This window comes from Homo sapiens, chromosome 12, assembly GCF_000001405.40.
Source record: "Homo sapiens chromosome 12, GRCh38.p14 Primary Assembly".
NCBI classification, from domain to species: Eukaryota; Metazoa; Chordata; class Mammalia; order Primates; family Hominidae; genus Homo; species Homo sapiens.
In genome coordinates this window covers 55,901,413-55,924,524 of record NC_000012.12, presented here as the reverse complement: position 1 = coordinate 55,924,524, position 23,112 = coordinate 55,901,413, and the positions used below count along the sequence as shown (strand labels likewise).

General features: G+C 43.8%; 1 protein-coding gene and 1 long non-coding RNA gene across 5 annotated transcripts in view, besides 1 other annotated feature; both read left to right on the top strand.

The window, feature by feature from the left end:
• PYM1 (PYM1 exon junction complex associated factor) overlaps window positions 1-23,112 on the top strand; it is a 26,482-nt gene extending 3,370 nt beyond the window's left edge. For both annotated transcript variants that reach the window (NM_032345.3, NM_001143853.1), the window contains 2 exon segments: window positions 21,045-21,138; window positions 22,170-23,112. In NM_032345.3, the coding sequence (NP_115721.1) occupies window positions 21,045-21,138; window positions 22,170-22,653 (578 nt within the window). In that variant the 3' untranslated portion in view covers window positions 22,654-23,112.
• On the top strand, window positions 754-10,699 carry LOC124902941 (uncharacterized). Of its 3 annotated transcripts, none has more exons than XR_007063325.1 (2): window positions 754-1,084; window positions 10,159-10,699. It is a non-coding gene; the product is annotated as an uncharacterized LOC124902941 (long non-coding RNA). The 3 variants fall into 3 exon arrangements; XR_007063327.1 differs by lacking the exon at window positions 754-1,084 and adding an exon at window positions 6,777-7,548; XR_007063326.1 differs by lacking the exon at window positions 754-1,084 and adding an exon at window positions 8,993-9,082.
• Window positions 15,759-15,907: a silencer, noted in NCBI's record as "fragment chr12:56302402-56302550 (GRCh37/hg19 assembly coordinates)". NCBI's record gives its function as "represses an EF-1alpha promoter that drives an FKBP-Casp9 reporter gene in an ReSE screen in phorbol 12-myristate 13-acetate-treated (for megakaryocytic differentiation) K562 erythroleukemia cells {active_cell/tissue: K562(+PMA)}" and the evidence as "EXISTENCE:reporter gene assay evidence [ECO:0000049][PMID:32094911]".

Here is a 23,112-nt window from a genome sequence, read left to right as displayed (position 1 = left end):
TTCTTCACAGCCAGATTTTGTTTGTTTCTTTCTTTTTTTAAAAATGAAGCGATGCAGACTTGCTATGTTGCCCAGGCTGGTTTTGAACTCCTGGCCTTAAGTGATCTTCCCACCTCAGTCTGCCAAAATGTTGGGATTACAGGTGTGAGCATGCACCTGGCCCCAGATTTCTCGAATATGAAGAAATCTCCTGATATTTCTGTTTCCTTGCTGCCTATTTGTTCTTAACTCTTTGCAGTCATTATTTCTAGCACTACCCTCTCTCGAGTTGCCTATGCCTTTTTCTAATTGTTTCGTGAATATCTTCACTCTTGGATATACTGTTATACCTCAAATCCAACCTGACCAAAACCAGTATCAGTTTTTCCATCACTATTTCTGTTAAAGGCACCATTATTCTAGCCAACCCAAGGTAAACTTTTGTATCGTTTCTTTTTTTTTTTTTCTTTGAGACAGAGTCTCACTCTGTCGCCCAGGCTGGAGTGCAGTAGCGCGATCTCGGCTCACTGCAACCTCCGCCTCCCTGGTTCAAGTGATTCTTCTGCCTCAGCCTCCTGAGTAGCTGGGATTACAGGCACATGTCACCACGCTTGGCTAATTTTTGTATTGTTAGTAGAGACAGGGTTTCATCATATTGGTCAGGTTGGCCTCGAACTCCTGACCTCGTGATCTGCCAGCCTTGGCCTCCCAAAGTGCTGGGATTACAGGCATGAGTCACCACGCCTAGCCATTTCTTTTTTTAATATTCTAAATATACTTGATTTTTTAGAACACTTTTAGATTTATAGAAAAATTGAGAAGATGCTACAGAGATTTCCCATATACCCTACACTCAGTTTCCCCATTACTGTCATCTTACGTTAATATAGTACTTTGCTTGCAATTAATGAAGCAATATTGATATATTACTATTAACTAGAATCCATACATCATTTCATTAGTTTTGTTTTTTTTTTTTTTCAGACAGGGTCTTGCTCTGTCACCCAGGCTGGAGTGCAGTGGTGCAATCACCATTTACTGTAGTCTTAACTTCTGGGCTCAAGTGATCCTCACATCTCAACCTACTGAGTAGCTGGGACTACAGGTACACACCACCACGCCTGGCTAATTTTTGTATTTTTTGTAGAAATGCGGTCTTGCTCTGTTGCCCAGTCTGATCTCAAATTCCTGGGCTCAAGCAATCCTCACGCCCTGGCCTCCCAAAGTGCTAGAATTACAGGTGTGAACCACCATGCCTGGCTGATTTCCTTAGTTTTTACTTAATTTATTTTTATATTTATTTATTTATTACTATTTTTTTGAGACGGAGTTCTGCTCTTGTTGCCCAGGCTGGAGTGCAATGGTGAGATCTCAGCTCACCGCAACCTCTGCCTCCCGGGTTCAAGTGATTCTCCTGCCTCAGCCTCCTGGGTAGCTGGGATTACAGGCATGTGCCACCATGCCCGGCTAATTTTGTATTTTTAGTAGAGATGGGTTTCTCCATGTTGGTCAGGTTGGTCTCAAACTCCTGACCTCGGGTGATCTGCCCACCTCGGCCTCCCAAAGTGCTGGGATTACAGGTGTGAGCCACTGCGCCCAGCCTTTTTACCTAATTTTTTTTTGTTGTTCCAGGATCTTATCCAGGGTACTACATAACATTTAGTTCTCATGTCTCTTTAAGCTCCTCTTGGCTGTGACATTTTCTCAGGCTTTCCTTGTTTTCCATGACCTTGAGTTTTGAGGAGTACTGGTCAGGTATTTTGTAGGATATCCTTCTATTGGAATTTGTCTGATGTATTTCTCATGATTAGATTTGGGTTATGTGTTTTGGGGAGGAAGACCACAGAGGTAAAGTGACATTTTCATCACATTGTATCAGGGTACATAGTATCACAATGATTTTTTACTGTTAATATTTTTGTTTTTTTGAGACAGGGTCTTCCCTCTGTTGCCCAGACTGGAGTGCGGTGATGCCATCATGGCTCACTGAAATCTTGACCTCCCAGTCTCAATTGATCCTCCCACCTCAGCCTCCTGAGTATCTAGGACCACAGGCGTGTGCTATCATGACCAGCTAATTTTTTTTTTTTTTTTTTTTTTGGTAAAGATGGTCTCACTATGTTGCCTGGGCTGGTCTTGAACTCCTGAGCTCAAGGTATTGTTCCCCTTTGGCCTACCAAAATTCTGGGATTACTAGGCATGAGTCACTATGCCCAGCCTGTTAGTATTGACCGTGATCATCTGGCAGAGATATTGTTTGTAAGGCTTCACTGTAAAGTTAGGCTTTACCCCCTTCCTTTCCATACTGTAGGGAAGTCACTATTGCCAGCCCACGCATAAGGAGTAGAGAGTTGTGCTCTCCTTAAAAAAAGAGATTAAGGGCTGGGCATGGTGGCATATGCCTGTAATCCCAGCACTTTGGGAGGCTGAGGCTGGAGGATTGCTTGAGGCCATCCTAAGCAACATAGCAAGACCTCTTATCTACAAAAAGATTTAAAAAAAAAACGAGCTGGGTAAGGTGGCACACACCTGTGGTCCCAGCTACTCAGGGAGCCTCAGAGGGGAAGATTGAGCCAGGGAGGCTGAGGCTGCATTGAGCCGTGATTGTGCCACTGTACTCCATCCTCAGTGAGAGGCTGTCTCAAAAAACAATTAAAAAAACACACTATTTGGCATTTTTCTGCCCAGGAGATTTTTTTCTTTTCCTTTATTAATTTATGTATATCAATATGGACTTATAGATGTGTATTTTATATGTTAGGTTATAATCCAATACTATTTTATTTGCTTTATTGCTCAAATGTTCCAGTTTTGAACATTGGGAACTCTTTTAGTTTTTTACTTGGCCCATCTCCCTTTGACATTTGCCATCATTGCAGGTATGATTTTGTTCTCTGCTCCAGTCCTGCGGTCTGCCATTTCTCCAAGAAGCCCTTGTTCTTTTTACTAAAGAGTAATGTTAAAAACTAAGATCTGATCACTAGGTGTTTTTATTTCTATGGGAGTATTTTTTTTTATTTATGGGAGTTTTATTTTTTTATGATTATTTTTATTATCATCTTTTACTTCTCTCTTGCCCTCCTCATGTATATCAGTTATCAAAATATCATTCTTTTATTCCTACTGCTGTTACCCTTATCCCATCTACAGTACTTGTTAGCTATATAGCCTTGGGAATCTAAGTCTTAGTTTTCTCATCAATGAAATTGGAATAACTCCTGCAACACAGGATTATTATGCGTATTAAAATTTAAATAAAGTAATTTACATGTTTGGCACATAAAAAGTGTCCAACACATTGTTCTATAATTATTACTATTATGTAAGGGTCATTGTATGGGTTAGAAGAAATTACTATATATGGCCAAGTACCAGGCATAGTACTTGGGCCATTCCAAGTGCCTGCTAAAATTCTAGTTTCTGTTGTTCTGCAAATATTACTGTGACCTCCTAAACTGGTCATCGTATTTCCAGTCCCTCTCTTGTTTCATTTCTACAGATACACTGCTACCAGATTACTGCTTCTTAAGTGCAAATTTAGTTATGTAATTTTTGTTCAATATTAATTCATCAACCCAGAGTCTGCTGTTATATATGGCATATATCTTTCTAAACTGTTTTAAACATAGCAGAACCAGATGGTATATACATTTTTATATCTTGCCTTTTCATTTAGCCTTATGAGGTAAATGTTTTTCCTTGCTATTAAAAACTCTGTAAACATCTTTTAAAATACTGGCAGAGTGTTTTATAGTTTGGGCATGCACCCTATCTTACTTTCTTCTGTTATTGGACTTTTAGATTGTTTTCAGAATTTTTATTATAAGAACACTAGAATGTTTTTGTGCATGCATCTTTTTCGGCATTTAGGGTTATTTTCTTTTTCTTTTTTTTTCTTTTTTTTTTTTTGAGACGGAGTCTCGCTTTGTCACCAGGCTGGAGTGCAGTGGTGCGATCTCTGCTCACTACAATCTCCACCTCCTGGGCTCAAGTGATTCTCCTGCCTCAGCCTCCCGAGTAGCTGGAATTACAGGCATGCACCCCCACTCCCAGGTAATTTTTGTATTTTTAGTAGAGATGGTGTTTTACCATGTTGTCTAGGCTGGTCTTGAACTCCTGGCCTCAAAGGATCGCCCACCTTGGCCTCCCAGAATGCTAGAATTACAGGCATGAGCCACCGTGCTCGGCCTGATTTTTTAAATTATCTGTAAGATGAGGTCTTGCTATGTTTCCCAGGCAGGTCTCCAACTCCTGGGTTCAAGTGATCCTCTCACCTTGGCCTCCTGAAGTGTTGGGATTATAGGCATGAGCAACTAGTTTTTCTTTTCCTTTTTTTTTTTTAAAGAGACAAGGTCTTGCTCTGTTGCCCAGGTTAGTGTACAGTGGCACAGTCATAGCTTGCTGTAGTCTTAACTGTTGGGGTCAAGCAATTCTCCTGCCTCCTCCTCCTGAGTAGCTGGTACTAGTACTACAGGCATGCGCCACCATGGCTGGCTAATTTTTGAATTTTTTTATAGAGCTATGTTGCCCAGGCTGTTCTCAAACTCATTTTCACAAGCAGTGCTCCCACCATGGCCTTCCAAAGTGGTGGGATTACAGGCATGAGCCACTGCACCCAGCCTAGTTTTTCTTTTTTCTTTTTCTTTTTTTTTTGAGACGGAGTCTTGCTCTGTCTCCAGTCACCCAGACTGGAGTGCAGTGACGCGATCTCTGCTCTGCCAACTGGGCTCAAGCTATTCTGCCTCAGCCTCCCAAATAGATGAGATTACAGGCACGCACCACTATGCCCAGCTATTTTTTTGTATTTTTAGTTAGAGATGGGGTTTCACCGTGTTGGCCAGGCTGGTCTCGAACTCCTGACCTCAGGTGATCTGCCTGCCTTGGCCTCCCAAAGTGCTGGGATTATAGACGTGAGCCACCATGCCTGGCCCCCAGCCTAGTTTTTCTAAGCACATATGCATATATAACATTAAGGTAAAATGACATATTTTGAATTATACTGTTAAGATTGGCTGTTATTTTCTAAAATATGAATCCTTGAAACACCTAGTAATCTTCTGAGATGTGACACAAAATAAATAACTAAAATAGAGGCCGGGAGTGGTGGCTCACGCCTGTAACCTCAACACTTTGGGAGGCTGAGGCGGGTGGATTGCTTGAGCCCAGGAATTCGAGACCAGCCTGGGCAACATGGCAAAACCTCGTCTCTACTAAAAATACAAAAAATTAACTGGGTGTGGTGACACACACACTCCTGTAGTCCCAACTACTTGGGAGGCTGAGGTGGGAGGAATTGCTTGAGCCTGGGAGGTGGAGACTGCAGTGAGTCAAGGTCCAGCTATTGCACTCCAGCCTGGGTGACAGTGACCTCATCTCAAAGATAAATAAAATAAAATGCAAATAATGTTTCTGTGCACAAATTTTGAGAAACACTGTAAACCATATTCCCATCTTGCATATGTACCTGAATAAGAACATAGTAACTCATTTAAGCCTTGCTGTTAAAAAAAACAAACGCAAAATCTTTTTTGGTGTTTAACCCAGAATTTCCCAAACTTATTTAACAATTTTTAGGGATAACCCCTGTTTAATATCTTATGGGAGTAGTATTTTACATAACAAAAGCTTTGGGAAATGTGATTAAATGATAGGACTACCTTTTTTATTTTTGTTTTTTTGAGATGGACGCTTGCTCTGTCGCCCAGGCTGGAGTGCAGTGGTGCAATCTCGGCTCAGTGCGACCTCTGCCTCTCAGGTTCAAGCGATTCTCCTGTCTCAGCCTCCCAAGTAGCTGGGACTACAGGCACGTGCCACCACGCCCAGCTAATTTTTGTATTTTTAGTAGAGACGGGGTTTCACCGTGTTGGCCAGGCTGGCCTCAAACTCCTGACCTCAGGTGATCCACCCGCCTTGGCCTCCCAGTGCTGGGATTACAGGTGTAAGCCACCATGTCCAGCCTAATTTTTAAATTTTTTATAGAGATGGAGGTCTTACCATCTTACCCAGGATGGTCTTGAACTCCTGGGCTCAAGTGATCCTCCTACGTCAGCCTCCTAGTGTGCTGGGATTACAGACGTGAGCCACCATGCCTGGCCTATTTGTTGATTTCCATTTTTATTTTAGATTTAGAAAATGTGCAGGTTTGTGGTTGGGCGCAGTGGCTCACGCCTGTAATCCCAGCACTTTGGGAGGCCGAAGCGGGCGGATCATGAGGTCAGGAGATTGAGACCATCCTGGTTAACACGGTGAAACCCCATCTCTACTAAAAATACAAAAGAAACTTAGCCGGGCATGGTGGCGGGCACCTGTAGTCCCAGCTACTCGGGAGACTGAGGCAGGAGAATGGCGTGAACCCGGGAGGCGGAGCTTGCAGTGAGCCGAGATCACGCCACTGCACTCTAGCCTGGGCGACAGAGCGAGACTCCGTCTCAAAAAAAAGAAAAAAAAAAAAAAGAAAATGTGTAGGTTTGTTACATGGGTATAATTATGTGATGCTGAGGTTTGGGGTATGAGTGATCCCATCACCCAGATAGTGAGCTTAGTACCCAATAGTTAAGTTTTTTTTTTGTTTGTTTGTTTGTTTTTTGTGATGGAGTCTTGCTTTGTTGCCCAGGCTGGAGTTCAGTGGTGTGATCTTGGCTCACTACAACCTCTATCTCCCGGGTTGAAGTGATTCTCCTGCCTCAGCATCCCAAGTAGCTGGGATTACAGGCATGCACCACCATGACCGGCTGAGTTTTGTATTTAGTAGAGTTGGGGTTTCACCGTGTTGGCCAGGCTGGTCTCCAACTCCTGACCTCAGGCGATCCATCTAGCTTGGCCTCCCAAAGTGCTGGGATTACAGGCGTGAGCCACTGTGCCTGGCCCCAGTAGATAGTTTTTAAACCCGTGCCCGCCTCTAATAATCCCCAATGTCTGTTGCTGCCATCTTTATGTCCGTGAGTACCCAGTGTTTAGCTCCTACTTATAAGTGAGAACATGCAGTATTTGGTTTTCTGTTCCTGTGTTAATTTGCTTAGGATAATGGCCCTCAGCTGCATCCATGTTGCTACAAAGGACATTATTTTGCTCTTTATGGCTGTGACAGACTACTTTTTATTTAATTAATTAATTTTTTTTTGTTTTGAGATGGAGTCTTGCTCTTGTTGCCCAGGCTGGAGTGCAATGGTGCGACCTTGGCTCCCTGCAACCTCTGCCTCCTGGGTTCAAGTGATCTCTTGCCTCAGCCTCCCAAGTAGCTGAGATTATAGGCACCCACCACCACGCCCGGCTAATTTTTTTTATTTTTAGTAGAGACGGGCTTTCACCATGTTGGCCAGGCTGGTCTCGAGCTCCTGACCTCAGGTGATCCACCCGTCTTGGTCTCCCAAAGTGCTGGGATTGCAGGCATGGTGAGCCACTGCGCCCAGCTGACAAACTACTTTTTAAATTTTTTTTTATTTTTGAGACAGAGTTTCACTCTGTTGCCCAGGCTGGAGTACAGTGGTGTGATTGCAGTTTACTGCTGGCTTGACCTCCTGGGTTCAAGTGATCCTCCCAGCTTAGCCTCCCAAGTAGCTGGGATTACAGGTGTGCGCCACCATGCCCAGCTAATTTTTGTAGAGAAGAGGTTTCACCATGTTGCCCAGGCTGGTCTTGAACTCCTGGATGCAAGCGATCTGCCTGCCTCAGCCTCCCAAAGTGTTGGGATTAGAGGCATGAACCACCACGCCCAACCTCAGACTACTTTCTTTTTTTCTTTTTTTGAGACCGACTTTTGCTGTTGTTGCCCAGGCTGTGGAGTGCAATGGCCTGACCTCGGCTCACCGCAACATCCACCTCCCGGGTTCAAGTGATTCTTCTGCCTCAGCCTCCCGAGTAGCTGGGATTACAGACATGTGCCCCACACCTGGCTAATTTTTGTATTTTTAGTAGAGACGGGGCTTTCTCCATGTTGGTCAGGCTGGTCTTGAACTCCTGACCTCAGGTGATCCGCCCGCCTCTGCCTCCCAAAGTACTGGGATTACAGGCGTGAGTCACCGTGCCTGGCTGACTACTTTTAAATGTAGTATTATCACATGCTATGTTTTTGCCCATACCCTCTAGTGAAACTGGGCTGTATGGCTGATGTGGAACAGCAGTGCGATGGTGTGTAAGCTTTGGCATCAGACTTGAGTTCAGGTTACAGATATGTGCTACCTTTGGGATCTTGACCATGTCTTTTTTTTTTTTGAGCTGGAGTCTCACTCTGTCACCCAGGCTAGAGTGCACTGGTGTGGTTTCAGCTCACTGCAACCTCTGCCTCCTGACTTCAAGCAATTCTCCTGTCTCAGCCTCCCGAGTAGCTGGGATTACAAGCATGTGCCAGCACGTCTGGCTAATTTTTGTATTTTTAGTAGAGATGGGGCTTCGCCATGTTGGCCAGGCTGGTCTCGAACTCCTGACCTCAGGTGATCCGCCCGCCTTGGCCTCCCAAAGTGCTGGGATTACAGGCGTGAGCCACCGCACCAAGACTTGACCATGTGTTTAACCTCTTGAAGACTGTTTCCTTGGCTGTAAATGATGATATCTATCTATCGTTTAGATTTAACAGGATGATGTATACAAAGTTCCTCCTGTAATGTAGCTACTTATTAATAAATACTCTTTACTAATCATTCTTAAATACTGAGTTTTCCACTGCTAGGATTTTGCTTTTGTTGTTCCTCTTATCCCCTTTCCCTTTTCTCTGCCTGCAGAAATACTGGCTGCTGATTTGTTGTTATCATTAATTATTACTACTTTCTAGTCTTTAGTGTCAAATGAGGTTTTCCTGATTATCTCCTGTCATCTCTTAGGATACTTACGACACTCTTACTTTTGTCTTATGCTTTGCTTGCCTAATTTGCCCACTTCCTCCTTACTTAGTCTGTAAATTTTTTGAAAATTGGGACCATCTTACTCATCTTGATAACCCTATTGGCACTTACGGTACTTTTCTTCTAGGAGGCTTTTTTTTTTTTTTTTTAAAGATAAACTCTTGCTCTGTCGCCCAGGCTGGAGTGCAATGGCATGATCTGCAACCTCTGCCTCCCAGGATCAAGTGATTCTCCTGTCTCAGCCTCCCGAGTAGCTGGGATTACAGGTGTGTGCCACCAAGCCCAGCTAGGAGGCTTTTAATGTTTATTTTGTTTAATTTGTAGTCTGGCCTCTTTACCACCGTGCTTTTCTGAGGCTGTATTTGTGGAGATAACCAGGGATTTCCAAAATGCCAAAGCCAGAACCTTTTTCTCAGTTCTCCTTTCCTTGATCTCTCTGCAGTATTTAATACTGTTAATCACCTACCTTTACTTTTTTTTTTTTTTTTTTTTTTTAGGCAGAGTCTTGGACTGTTGCCCAGGCTGGAGTGCAGTGGCACGATCTTGGCTTACTGCAACCTCTGCCTCCCGCCTTCAAGGGATTCTCTTGCCTCAGCCTCCTGAGTAGCTGGGACTGCAGGCATGTGCCTCCATGCCCGGCTAATTTTTTCTATTTTTAGTGGAGATGGGGTTTCATCGTGTTAGCCAGGATGGTCTCCATCTCGTGACCTCGTGATCCACCCACCTCGGCCTCCCAAAGTGCTGGGATTACAGGTGTGAGCCACCATGCCCGGCCATCACCTACCTACCTTTATTTAAAACTGTTGGTCTCCATGGCTTAGCATGTCCTGGTCTTCCTTTCCTATGAATCATTTCCTGTTGTTGCTGTCACCTTTTCTTCCTTGAGGGAAATGATTATGATCATTATTTCAGGGTCATTCCTCCAGCTCTCATCTTCTCTTTGTTATATTTTCTCTGTGTTGGAAACCACATCCAGGTCTTATTTTGGCCCTGAGATCATCCGCAGGCTGAGACCTGTGACTTAGATCTCTTTTCTTATTTGAAAAAGGTCTCATACCTTTAACAACCATGTCCCCTACCTCTTTGGAGTTCCTCCATGCCTTGCTATGTTGTCTTTTCACTGTCTACCTGCAACCCCTGGAAACAAGGACCCTTTCAGTGTAAGAGTTTTTATTGCTGACAGACTTAAGGAAATAGATTGAGAATTAAAAAACGGCAGATGTGAGAAAATGACAAAGCTTAAAAAGATTCTTACAGTAGCAGTCCCCAATCTCTAGTTTTTGACTCTCTGCAAGATATTATCTGAAAGTCCTGATATTTTGCCCTTGGTTTTTATTTCTAGGGGTGGGAACCGCCAAACCTCTCCCTTCTTTTTGACTTCACCCTTGGATACCATCAAGGCCAGAGGATGGAACCAAGATAACATAAAATAGGTGCTCCTTTGTGATAATGGGCTATTTGTATCTCTGAGGGCTTCCACACAGGATGGCCATTCAAGAAGCTTCTGCTCTGCCTTTCATTACAGTCTATCTTTAGTCCTCCTAAACCTTCAGCTATAATCTCTATGCAATCAACTTAAATATATGTTTGTAGTATTGTCCCTTTCTCCCAAATTCCATGTAAAACACTTGCCTGAATTGAATTGTTTCCACAAAGTTGTTTTCCCCTGTGGACTTTGTTTATATCAGTAGTTTTTATTTTCCCAATTTTCCAAATTCAAGAGTGATAATTATAAATAGTTGTGTTCTTGTTTGTTATCTTTCTCACTAGAATGTATACTCTAAGAAGGCAAGAACCTTGCTTGCTTTATTCATTGTTGTATTCCTAGCTTCTGTTACAGTGTCTGGCACAAGAGTAAGTGCTCAATAAAAATTTAAAATCCACGTGTGAATAAATGTGATTACCATGTGCCCTACCGTATATTGAGAAAAATAAGAATACATGTGAAAAGCACGAGATTAAATCCACTGTGTCACTGTTTTGATTATTTCCTCTCTAATTCACATCTTGGTAAGTCTTTGGATCCTGTTGATTTAATCTTCACAATGAATTTCTCCTTCATTTTCCTTTCATTACCTGTAGAAACCATCGAAGTCAAGTCTTTTCACATTGCAGCTGTTGTTTTCATTTTCTCTACCTTTAGTTTATGGTACACATTTTTCAGTTTAATCTTAAATCATTGCTTTGAACAGATCACCTGTACTCCCTTATTGGCCATCAGTATTCTACAGCTTAAGGCTTCAGTCCAAACTCAGTGGAGGTTGGAGACCTTTCATAGTCTCACTAATTTACCCTGAGTCTCTTTTCACGTTACATATGCTTTTTGCCCAGAACATTCTGGATTCTTGCTCTTCCCTGATGAGATACTCACATTTATTCATTAATTCAGTCCATATTTACTGTCTTCTGTGGGCCAGGCTCTTTGCTACAAAGTTCAAAGACAGTTTCTGCTTTCCAACAAGCAAATAATTATGTTAAGCATTAGAGCATGATAAAAGCTAAAACAGGTGCTGCGAGTGCACAGAAAGCAAGTTTTAACCTGGCTTGGCGTAAGGAAGTCAGGAAGGCTGCCTTGAGTTGATACTTGAATTTGACCTTTAAAGACCAATGGGAATGAACTTAAGATAAGCAAATATAGTCTATTCCAGGCCAGAGGAAGCAAAAGCAAAAAGGTACAGAGAATAGAGACATGGGTCAGGTTGAGATTTGTGAATATTTTAGTTTCTATTTTTTTTTTTTCTTTTGAGACGGAGTTTTGCTCTTGTTGCCCAGGCTGGAGTGCAATGGCGTGATCTTGGCTCACTGCAACCTCCGCCTCCCGGGTTCAAGTGATTCTCCTGCCTCAGGCTCCCAAGTAGCTGGGATTACAGGAGCTTGCCACAGTGACCTGCTAATTTTTGTATTTTAGTAGAAATGGGGTTTCTCCATGTTGGCCAGGCTGGTCTCGAACTCCTGACCTCAGATGATCCACCCGCCTCCGCCTCCCAAAGTGCTGGGATTACATACGTGAACCACTGCACCCAGCCAAATATTTGTTTCTAGAGCAGAGAGTATGGTGGCTTTATGCTAAGAGGCTGAAAACTAGCAAGAGGTAAATCAAGAAGGCCTTTTTTTTTTCCCCCCTCTTGCGGAGTTTTGCTCCTGTTGCCCAGGCTGGAGTGCGATGGCACGATCTTGGCTCACTGCAGCCTCTGCCTCCCAAGTTCAAGCAATTCTCCTGCCTCAGCCTCCCAAGTAGCTGGGATTACAGGCGTGAGCCACCACGCCTGGCCTAATGGAAATTTTTAACAGAAAAGTTATCTTATCACCCCAATAGAATTTTCATTATTGCATGTTCTTTTCTTTTTTTAATTTTTTGAGGTGGAGTCTCGCTCTATCACCCAGGCTGGAGTGCAGTGGCGTGATCTCGGTTCACTGCAACCTCCACTTCCCAGACTCAAGTGATTGTCCCACCTTAGCCTCCTGAGTAGCTGGGACTACAGGCATGCACCACCATGCCCAGCTAATTTTTTTTTTTATTTTCGTAGAGATAGGGTTTCACCATGTTGGCCGGGCTGGTCTCGAATTCCTGACCTCAGGTGACCCACCTGCCTCGGCTTCCCAAAGTGTTGGCATTACAGGCATGAGCCACTATACCCTGCCTTGCACATTATTTTCAAAAAAGTTTTTAAAATAGAGATAGGGTCTCAATATGTTGTCCAAGACTCAATTGATCCTACCACATGAGGACTAAGCTCTGACTTTTTTTATCTTGCCAAAATTCCTATCTAAGGGGTCTGGGGAGTCATGCCCTACAAACCATAAGTTCTCATCAGATGGGTTATTTAACCCTGTATCTCCCCTCCCCTCCCCTCCCCTTCTCTTTTCTTGATGGAGTTTCGCTCTTGTCACCCAGGCTAGAGTGCAGTGGCGCAGTCTCGGCTCATTGCAACCTCCCCCTCCTGGGATCAAGTGATTCTCCTGCCTCAGCCTCCCGAGTAGCTGGGATTACAGGCGCCCGCCACCACTCCCAGCTAATTTTTGTATTTTTACTAGAGACAGCGTTTCACCATGTTGGCCAGGCTGGTTTTAAACTCCTGACCTCAGGTGATCCACCCACCTTGGCCTCCCAAAGTGCTGTGATTACAGGCGTGAGCCACCATGGCTGGCCTCGTTACTTACTTTTCAATTTGACTCTGACATAACAAGAAAATAAAAATATTTTACCCCAAAACATGTTTCTTGCCGTATCTTAAAATGGCTCTGCAAAGCCGACCTTTGTAGGGGAAACTGCATCTGTAAAAAATCTCTATTAACAGGCCGGGCTCAGTCACTCACACCTATAATCTCAGCACTTTGGGAGGCCGAGGCGGGTGGATCACATGAGGTCAGGAGTTCAAGACCAGCTTGGCCAACATGGCAAAACCCCATCTCTACTTAAAAATATATAAAAATTAGCCGGACGTGGTGGCACACATCTGTAATCCCAGCTACTCGGGAGGCTGAGGCAGGAGAATCGTTTGAACCTGGGAGGCGGAGGTTGCAGTGAGCAGAGATGGTGCCACTGCACTCCAGCCTGGGCTACAAGAGCAAAGCTCCATCTCAAAAAAATAAATAAATAAATAAAATTCTGTATTAACATAGCTAGATCTATTTCTTCCAGGCTCTCCCAATGCCGAAGAGGTTAACTAAAAGTCTAGCACCTTTTAAAGAACTGAATAGGAAACGTTTGTCATCTGTTGTCTCTAAGGGTAGCCACCATAAGACTTCAAAAGAACCTTGGTCTCCACAATCTTTTATCTGAACCTGAACCTTTCTATCGATCTCAGGCCTTTAGACAAACTCAACCAATTGTCAACCAGAAATGTTTAAATTTACCTATAGCCTGGAAGCCCCCTGCTTTGAGTCATCCCACCTTTCTGAACCAAACCAATGTATTTCTTAAATGTATTTGAGTGATGTCTCATGCCTCCCTAAAATATATAAAACCAGGTGTGGTGGCTCACGCCTGCAATCCCAACACTTTGGGAGGCTGAGGTGGGTGGATCACCTGAGGTCAGGAGTTTGAGACCAGCCTGGCCAACATGGCGAAACCCTGTCTCTACTAAAAATACAAAAAATTAGCTGGGCGTGGTAGTGGGCTCCTGTAGTCCCAGGTACTCGGGAGACTGAGGCAAGAGAATCACTTGAACCCAGGAGGCGGAGGTTGCAGTGAGCCAAGATCATGCCACTACACTCCAGCCTGGGCAACAGGGTTAGACTGTGTCAAAAAACAAAAACAGTAATTAGCCAGGTGTGGTGATGCGCTGTAGTCCCAGCTACTCGGCAGGCTGAGGCAGGAAAATCACTTTAACCGGGGAGGCGGAGATTGCAGTGAGCCGGGATCGGGCTACTGCACTCCAGCCTGAGAGACAGAGTGAGATTCCGTCTCAAAAAAAATTTTATATATATATATATATATATATATATATATATATGTATAAAACCAAGCCGTACCTCAAGCACCTAGGGCACATGTTCTCAGGACCTCCTAAGGTCAGTGTCAGAGGCCATGGTCACTTATATTTGGCTCAGAATCTCTAAAAATATTTTACAGAGTTTGACTCTTTTCATCAACACAGGTCACCCTCCTGAGTAGCTGGTAGCACAGGTACATGCCACTAACCATACACAGCTAATTTTTGTATAGTTCGTAAAGACAGGGGTCTCCCTATGTTGCTCAGGCTGGTCTTGAATGCCTGGGCTCAAGGGATCCTCCCATCTTGGCCTCCCAAAGTGCTGGGATTACAGCCATGAGCCACTGTGCCTGACCTTTCGCTATTTATTGATAATGCTTATCATATTCATATGATTATCTCTTCCTCTCTTTTTTGTTTTTATTTTTTCCGATAGTAACTGTTTATGGTAAATTGTGGACATTGAGATTACTAAAATAAAAAGTGTACTGAATTATCTTTGATTTCTTATCCTCTTACTCCTTCCCTAGTTAGTGAATTACCAAATGTTGATTCTTTGATAATGTATCTGCCCTTAGTCTCTTACGTTCCAGTGCCCCTGTTTCAGCCAATTCTGTCCCTTCATGCCAGGATTATCACAATATTTTTTCCCTAACTAGTTTCCATGTCTCTGGTGTTTTTTTTTTTTTTCCAAGTCACCCTTTTATTATGCTAGATTAAATACTCTGAAACACTGCTTTGTATAAAGGATTCATTCATTTATTCAAAGCCCTAAGACAATACTTCGCATAAAGGATTAATTCATTTGACAAATATTTGTTGAGTGCATGCCATGTGCCAGATATTAAAATCTTTAACTGGTATTCAAGGTCTGAACATTCCAGCCCTTGTCTCTGGCTCAGCCTGACTGGTCTATTTGTCGTTGCCTGAAAATGCTATCTACATTCCCATGCGTGAGTTTTTGTTTGAGAACGAACTGTTTCTAATCTACTCTGTCTCCCTTTTTGTTTAGTTTGACTCTTCCTTCAAAGCCCAGCTCTTGTCTCAGTCCTCCCTCCAGGAAGCCTCCTAGTTTTTTTTCTTTGGTTTTTATTCTTGTCACAGCTGGGCAAAAAATATCCATAGTAGTTATGTTTTACTCACCCAGTAAAGTCCAAAGTTCTTGACCTTGTTTTTAAGGCTTTCTGCGATTACCCCATTTTTCATTTCCAACCAGGCTTCCTATTCCCTAACATGAACTGTCTCATTCACCTGAACCTCTCAACTTTCTGTTCCCTACTCACGCCCATTCCCACATCCATGCCTTTCTTTGCTCAAGTTTGAGCCCCTTTGCTCATGATTTTTCTTTCTTCCATGCCCTCCACCTGTCGAATCACCCATTGCCTTTAACAACTTTTTTTGTTTTATTTTATTTTTTTTTTGGAGACAGAGTCTTGCTCTGTCACCCAGGCTGGAGTGCAATGGTATGATCTTGGCTCACTGCAGCCTCCGCCTCCTGGGCTCAAGTGATTCTCCTGCCTCAGCCTCTGGAGTAGCTGGGATTACAGACGCCCAGCCACCACTCCTGGCTATTTTTTGTATTTTAGTAGAGATGGGGTTTCACAATTTTGGCCAGGCTGGTCTCGAACTCCTGATCTCAGGTGATCTGCCTGCCTCGGCCTCGCAAAGTGGTAGGAGTACAGGAGTGGGCCCGTGCGCCTGGACTTTTTTGTTTTAATGTATTAATGATATTTGCATTTTGAACAAAAAACCAATTCATGTAATAATATATAATTCATGTAGGAGGCCCTAGACATTTATTTTAAAAGTCTTTTTTTCTTTTTTCTTTCTTCTTTTTTTTTTTTTGAGAAAGATTTTCACTCTGTTGCCCAAGCTGGAGTGCAGTAGCACGATATTGGCTCACTGCAAACTCCACCTCCTGGGCTCAAGCAATTCTTATGCCTCTGCGTCCCCAGTAGCTGGGATTACAAACGTGCCACCATGCCCAGCTAATTTTTTTATTTTTATTTATTTTACTTATTTTTACTTTTTGAGATGGAGTCTTTCTCTGTCGCCCAGGTTGGAGTGCAGCGGTGCAATCTTGGCTCACTGCAACCTCCACCTCCCGGGTTCAAGTGATTCTCCTGCCTTACCCTCCCAAGTAGCTGGGATTAAAGGCGCCCGCCACCACGCCTGGATATTTTTTGTATTTTTGTAGAGACAGGGTTTCACCATGTTGGCCAGGCTGGTCTCGAACTCCTGACCTCAAGTAATCCGCCCACCTCAGCCTCCCAAAGTGCTGGGATTACAGGCATGAGCCACCATGCCCAGCCTTATTTTTTATTTTTTATTTTTTTGAGACGGAGTCTCGCTCTGTTGCCCAGGTTGGAGTGCAATGACATGATCTTGACCTACTGCAACCCCACTTCCCGGGTTCAAGTGATTTTCCTGCCTCAGCCTCCTGAGTAGCTGAGACTACAGGCACTTGCCACCACACCCAGCTAATTTTTGTGTTTTTAATGGAGATGGGGTTTCACCATGTTGGCCAGGCTGGTCTCGAACTCCTGACCTTAAGTGATCCACTCACCTCAGCTTCCCAAAGTGCTGGGATTACAGGTGTGCACCACTGCGCCTGGCCTCCAATTTTTTTTTTTTTTTTTCCCAGACGAAGTCTCGCTCTGTCACCAGGCTGGAGTGCAGTGGCTCAATCTCGGCTTACTGCAACCTCCAACCCCCTGTTTCAAGTGATTCTCCTGCTTCAACCTCCCAAGTAGCTGGGATTACAAGCGCATGCCGCCGTGCCCGGCTAATTTTTTTTTTTTTTTTTTTTTGTATTTATGTAGAGACAGGGTTTTGTATGTAGAGACAGGGTTTCACCATGTTGTCCAGGCTGGTTTTGAACTCCTGAGTTCAGGCAATCCACCTGCCTCGGCCTCCCAAAGTGCTGGGATTACAGGTGTGAGCCACCTTGCCTTGCCAATTTTTGTATTTTTAGTAGAGGCAGGGTTTTGCCATATTGGCCAGGCTGGTCTGGAACTCCTGGACTTGTGTGATCCACCCACTTCAACCTCCCAAATTGCTGGGATTACAGGTGTGAACCGCCGCATCTGGCCTTAAAAATCTTTTTTCTTTATTTTTACAAAAGTAATACTTAAAATAAGAGAGCTACAACAAAACATATATATATATATATATATGTTAACTTTCTCTCTTAACATATATATATATATGTTTGATATGTATTAACAGTTTGGTATGTGTCCTTGCACACCTTTTTCTTTGTCCCTGTACACAGACTACATGTCTTTAAGTGTTGCCCTTTACTCCAACAAGAATAGTACCATACTGGCTGGGTGCGGTGGCTCACACCTGTAATCTCAGGACTTTGGGAGGCCGAGGCGGGTGGATCACCTGAGGTCGGGAGTTTGCTACCAGCCTGACCAATACAGAGAAATCCCGTCTCTACTAAAAACACAAAATTAGCCAGGTATTGTGGTGCATGCCTGTAATCCCAGCTACTCAGGAGGCTGAGGCAGGAGAATCACTTGAATCTGGGAGGAGGAGGTTGCAGTGAGCCGAGACTGCACCATTGCACTCCAGCCTGGGCAACAAGAGCGAAACTCCATCTCAAAATCAATCAATAAATAAATAAAATAAAATAGTACCATACTCTATATCAGCGATTCTCAAAGTGTGGTTCAGGACCCTTAAGGGGGTCCCTGAGACTCTTTCAGAAGGTCTGCAAGCAAAACTATTCTCATAATCATGCTTATTTATTTGTCTTTTTCATGGGGTTGACTTTGCACCAATGGTGCAAAAGACATGGTTGGTGAAACTGCTGGCCCTGTAAGCATGCATTTGTCAGGGCAGTGGCACCAAATTATACTAATCATTTTGTTCTTCACTGCCACACACTTGCTGTAAATGCCAGTTTCACCTAAGGATATCATTGATGATACAATGAAAATGATTAATTGTATTAAGCCCAGCCCTTGAATACATATTTTTTTAATGTTCTCTGTGACTCATGGGAAGTAAGCATGAAACACTTCTGCTGCATACCGAAGTAGGATGGTTGTCTGAATTGCAAGCTGAACAAACTTTCTTCTCATGGAGCAGTATTTTTTACTTGAAAAAAAAAAACACTGACAAACTATGGTAATTCAGACCTGACTATCCAATGATCATTTTCCTGAAAATGAAGGAAGTGAAAGTGAAGGAAAACAACTGATAGTTTTTCTCGCCAATGATAAAATTCAAACACTTAGGTGAAAATTAGAATTTTGGAAAACTTATTTATTTTATATTATATATAATAATATATATATCTATTAGATATATATAATAATATATATATCTATTAGATATATATAATAATATATATATCTATTAGATATATATAATAATATATATATCTAATAGATATATATATATCTAATATATAATATATATATCTAATATATATAGAAAATTAGAATTTTTGAAAACTTATTTATTTTATATAATAATAATAATATATATATAATATAAAATAAATTTTCCAAAATTCTATAAAATATATATATATATACATATATATATATTTTTTAATTGGGTTGGAGTCTCGCTCTGTCACCCAGGCTGGAGTGCAGTGGCGCAATCTCCACTCACTGCAACCTCCGCCTCGTGGGTTCAAGCAGTTCTCCCTGCCTCAGCCTCCCGGGTAGCTAGGATTACAGGCGCCTGCCACCACGCCCAGCTAATTTTTGTATTTTTAGTAGAGACAGGGTTTTGTCATATTAGCCAGGCTGCTCTCGAACTCCTGACCTCAGATGATCCGCCCGCCTCAGCCTCTCAAAGTGTTGGGATTACAGGCATGAGCTACTGTGCCCTGCCAAGAATTTTGGAAAACTTATATTTCCCATTCTGAGCTTGATAGCTTCCATGTACTTAAATACTTTAGTGATGAGATTAATGAATATGATCTCTTTTAAATATTGTATAATAGGCCAGGCACGGTGGCTCACACCTGTAATCCCAGCACTTTGGGAGGCTGAGGCAGGCGGATAATGAGGTCAGGAGATTGAGACCATTCTGGCTAACATGGTGAAACCCCGTCTTTATTAAAAATACAAAAAAAAAAAAAATTAGCCAGGTGTGGTGGCAGGCGCCTGTAGTCCCAGCTACTCGGGAGGCTGAGGCAGGAGAATGGCGTGAACCCGGGAGGCAGAGCTTGCAGTGAGCCGAGATTGCGCCACTGCACTCCAGCCTGGGCGACAGAGCGAGACTCTGTCTCAAAATAAATAAATAAATAAATATAAATAAATATTGTATAATGATATGCATATTATAAAATAACAGTGTAAAGGGGGTCCTGAAATAAAAAAAGTTAGAGGACCACTACTCCACATGTTATCCTGCAGCTTGCTTTTTCACTTAGTGTATCTTGAACACTAGTCAGTGTCAGAACATTTATTTTATTTTTTTTGAGACTCACTGCAACCTCTGCCTCCCAGGTTCAAGCGATTCTCGTGCCTCGGCCTCCCCAGTAGCTGGGATTACAGACGTGTGCCATCACACCCGGCTAATTTTTGTATTTTTAGTAGAGACAGGGTTTCACCATGTTGGCCAGGCTGGTCTCGAACTCCACTTGATGGCCTTTTAAGTTGCTTTCAGCTTTTTGCTAATTTTTTTTCTTTTTTTTTTTTTTTTTTTTTTTTGAGATGGAGTCTCACTCCGTTGCCCAGGCTGGAGTGCAGTGGCGCAATCTCTGCCCACTGCAATGTCCGCCTCCTGGGTTCAAGTGATTTGCCTGCCTCAGCCTCCTGAGTAGCTGGGACTACAGGCGCTCTCTAGCATGCCCAGCTAATTTTTTTTTGTATTTTTATTAGAGACGGGGTTTCACTATGTTGGTCAGGCTGGTCTCGAACTCCTGACCTCGTGATTCAACCCCCTCGGCCTCCCAAAGTGCTGGGATTATAGGCATGAGCCACCGTGCCTGGCCAGCTTTTTGCTAATTTAAATCATGCATCAACGAATACCCTTTAAAGGCCAGGCGCTGTGGCTCATGCCTATAATCCCAGCAATTTGGGAGGCCGAGGCGGGCGGATCACCTGAGGTCAGGAGTTCGAGACTAGCCTGGCTGACATGGCGAAACCCATTTCTACTAATAATACAAAAATTAGCCGGATGTGGTGGCAGGGGCCTGTAATCCTAGCTACTCGGGAGGCTGAGGCAGGAGAATCACCTAACCTGGGAGGTGGAGGTTGTGGTGAGCTGAGATTGCACCACTGCACTCCAGCCTTGGTGACAGAGTGAAACTCCATCTAAAAACAAAACAAAATGAAACAAAAACCAAATACCCTTTAAATACATCCTCGTGTACTGGTGTGTATGTATCTATGGTATGAATTCCTAAAAGTTGACCTATTTTTTTAAGTTCCATCTAAATAAAATTTCTCCTTTACAACATCCGCTATTGTCATTTCTCCTCCCCGTGGTTTTTGTGTCTTTTTAGCCTCTTGTTCATTTACTGCCTTTCATGTTCCCATGCTATTGCCTTGGTTTTTTAACAAAATTCTTCCTCTGTGCCTATCCTGTCTTACCTACAAATAGAATCTTCTTGAGGGCAAGGATGGTTTCTTGTACGGTGTATTGGCACTCGGTAAATAAATAATGAGAGAGGGATTGAGTGTTGGTATGAGAAAAGGAGCCTAATGGTTGCATTTGGATGAATGGGTGCTGAGAGATGGTATGTACATTTATACATTCTTGTCTCATCTTGTAAAATGTTTGAAAATAAGAGTAATTTTCAACTTGATTTTTCTTATTTTAGGCAAGTATATCGCGTCAACACAGCGACCTGACGGGACCTGGCGCAAGCAGCGGAGGGTGAAAGAAGGATATGTGCCCCAGGAGGAGGTCCCAGTGTACGTGGTTAGGCTTTGCGTAGGGGTTTTCTGATGGGGTCCCTACAGAAGGATAGAATATCCTTATGCCTACAAGTTCAGGGAGGACTCTCCTAAGCCCCAAGGAAATGGAAGGAGGGGCAACTATCTGAGAAAGGAGAGAAAGAGTCTGGGATTCAGGGATGAGTGAGGGTTACAGATCACTAGTCCTATACTTTTGACCTCTGTTCATTAGAACCTCCAGAGCTTTAGGTTCTAGGGACTTCGCTGCATCTTTCCTGCAGAGCAGAGGAAAGTTGGGGAGGGACCATAAAGAGAGAAAGGTGGTCAGGCCCAGTGGCCTACATCTGTAATCTGAGCACTTTGGGAGGCCTAGGCAGGTGGATTACTTGAGGTCAGGAGTTCAAGAACAGCCTCCCCAAAGTGGTGAAACCCCGTCTGTACTAAAAATACAAAATTACAAAATACAAACATCAGCCAGGCGTGGTGGCACGAGCCTGTAATCCCAGCTACTCAGGAGGCTGAGGCAGGAGAATCTCTTGAACCCGGGAAGTGGGAGGTTGCAGTGAGCTGAGATTGCGCCAGTGCACTTCAGCCCTGGCGACAGAGCGAGACTCTGTCTCAAAAACAAACAGGCAGGCGCAGTGGCTCTCTGTAATCCCAAGCACTTTGGGAGGCCAAGATCGGTGGATCACCTGAGGTCAGGAGTTGAAGACCAGCCTGACCAACATGGTGAAACCCCATCTCTACTAAAAATACACAGTTAGCCAGGCGTGGTGGCAGGCGCCTGTAATCCCAGCTACCCGGGAGGCTGAGGCAGGAGAATTGCTTGAACCCTGGAGGTGGAGGTTGCAGTGAGCTGAGATTGCGCCATTACACTCCAGCCTGGGCAACTGAGCGAGACTCTATCTCAAAAAACAAACAACCCCACAAAAACAACAACAAAAAAAGGAAGCAAGAATGTAATGAGGATGAAGTGTTTGGAAGTTTAAGAAAAGGGATCAAAAAGTCAGTAATTCTCTGAAACTCTTGACATCCTTTGTTTCCTGCAGATATGAAAACAAGTATGTGAAGTTTTTCAAGAGTAAACCAGAGTTGCCCCCAGGGCTAAGCCCTGAGGCCACTGCTCCTGTCACCCCATCCAGGCCTGAAGGTGGTGAACCAGGCCTCTCCAAGACAGCCAAACGTAACCTGAAGCGAAAGGAGAAGAGGCGGCAGCAGCAAGAGAAAGGAGAGGCAGAGGCCTTGAGCAGGACTCTTGATAAGGTGTCCCTGGAAGAGACAGCCCAACTCCCCAGTGCTCCACAGGGCTCTCGGGCAGCCCCCACAGCTGCATCTGACCAGCCTGACTCAGCTGCCACCACTGAGAAAGCCAAGAAGATAAAGAACCTAAAGAAGAAACTCCGGCAGGTGGAAGAGCTGCAGCAGCGGATCCAGGCTGGGGAAGTCAGCCAGCCTAGCAAAGAGCAGCTAGAAAAGCTAGCAAGGAGGAGGGCGCTAGAAGAGGAGTTAGAGGACTTGGAGTTAGGCCTCTGAGGCCTTTGGGGAATAGGGAATGGACTGCAGAACAAACCGTGGGGCTCTCTGGGGTCTGGGGGAATACGGGCAACAGCAGTCAGGAGGGGTACCCCCCATACTGGCTTACTTCCACCTCCTGCGGCCCAGCTCTGTCCTCCAGAGCCTAGCGTCTCCCTCAATCCTTCCCTTTTCTTCCCAACTTCTACTTTTTGGACTTTCCCCCTCCCATTCCCAGTGTTCAAAATCTCAGTGACTACCCCAGGTACCTTTGCTGCTGATTTGGGTGTCTTGTTTAAAAGAAAATCAGGTGGGTGGGAATCTCTTGGAGAACTGAGGCTGAGGGTAGAGGGAGTATGCCCAAGTCTTGGAGTCTTGGTTCCTGTTCGCGGTGTTTATGGGTTATTTCCCTCTCCATCCCTCATTTTTTTTTTTTTTTTAAAAAAAGCAAAAATGAGAATAAACACAAGTAGACATGTC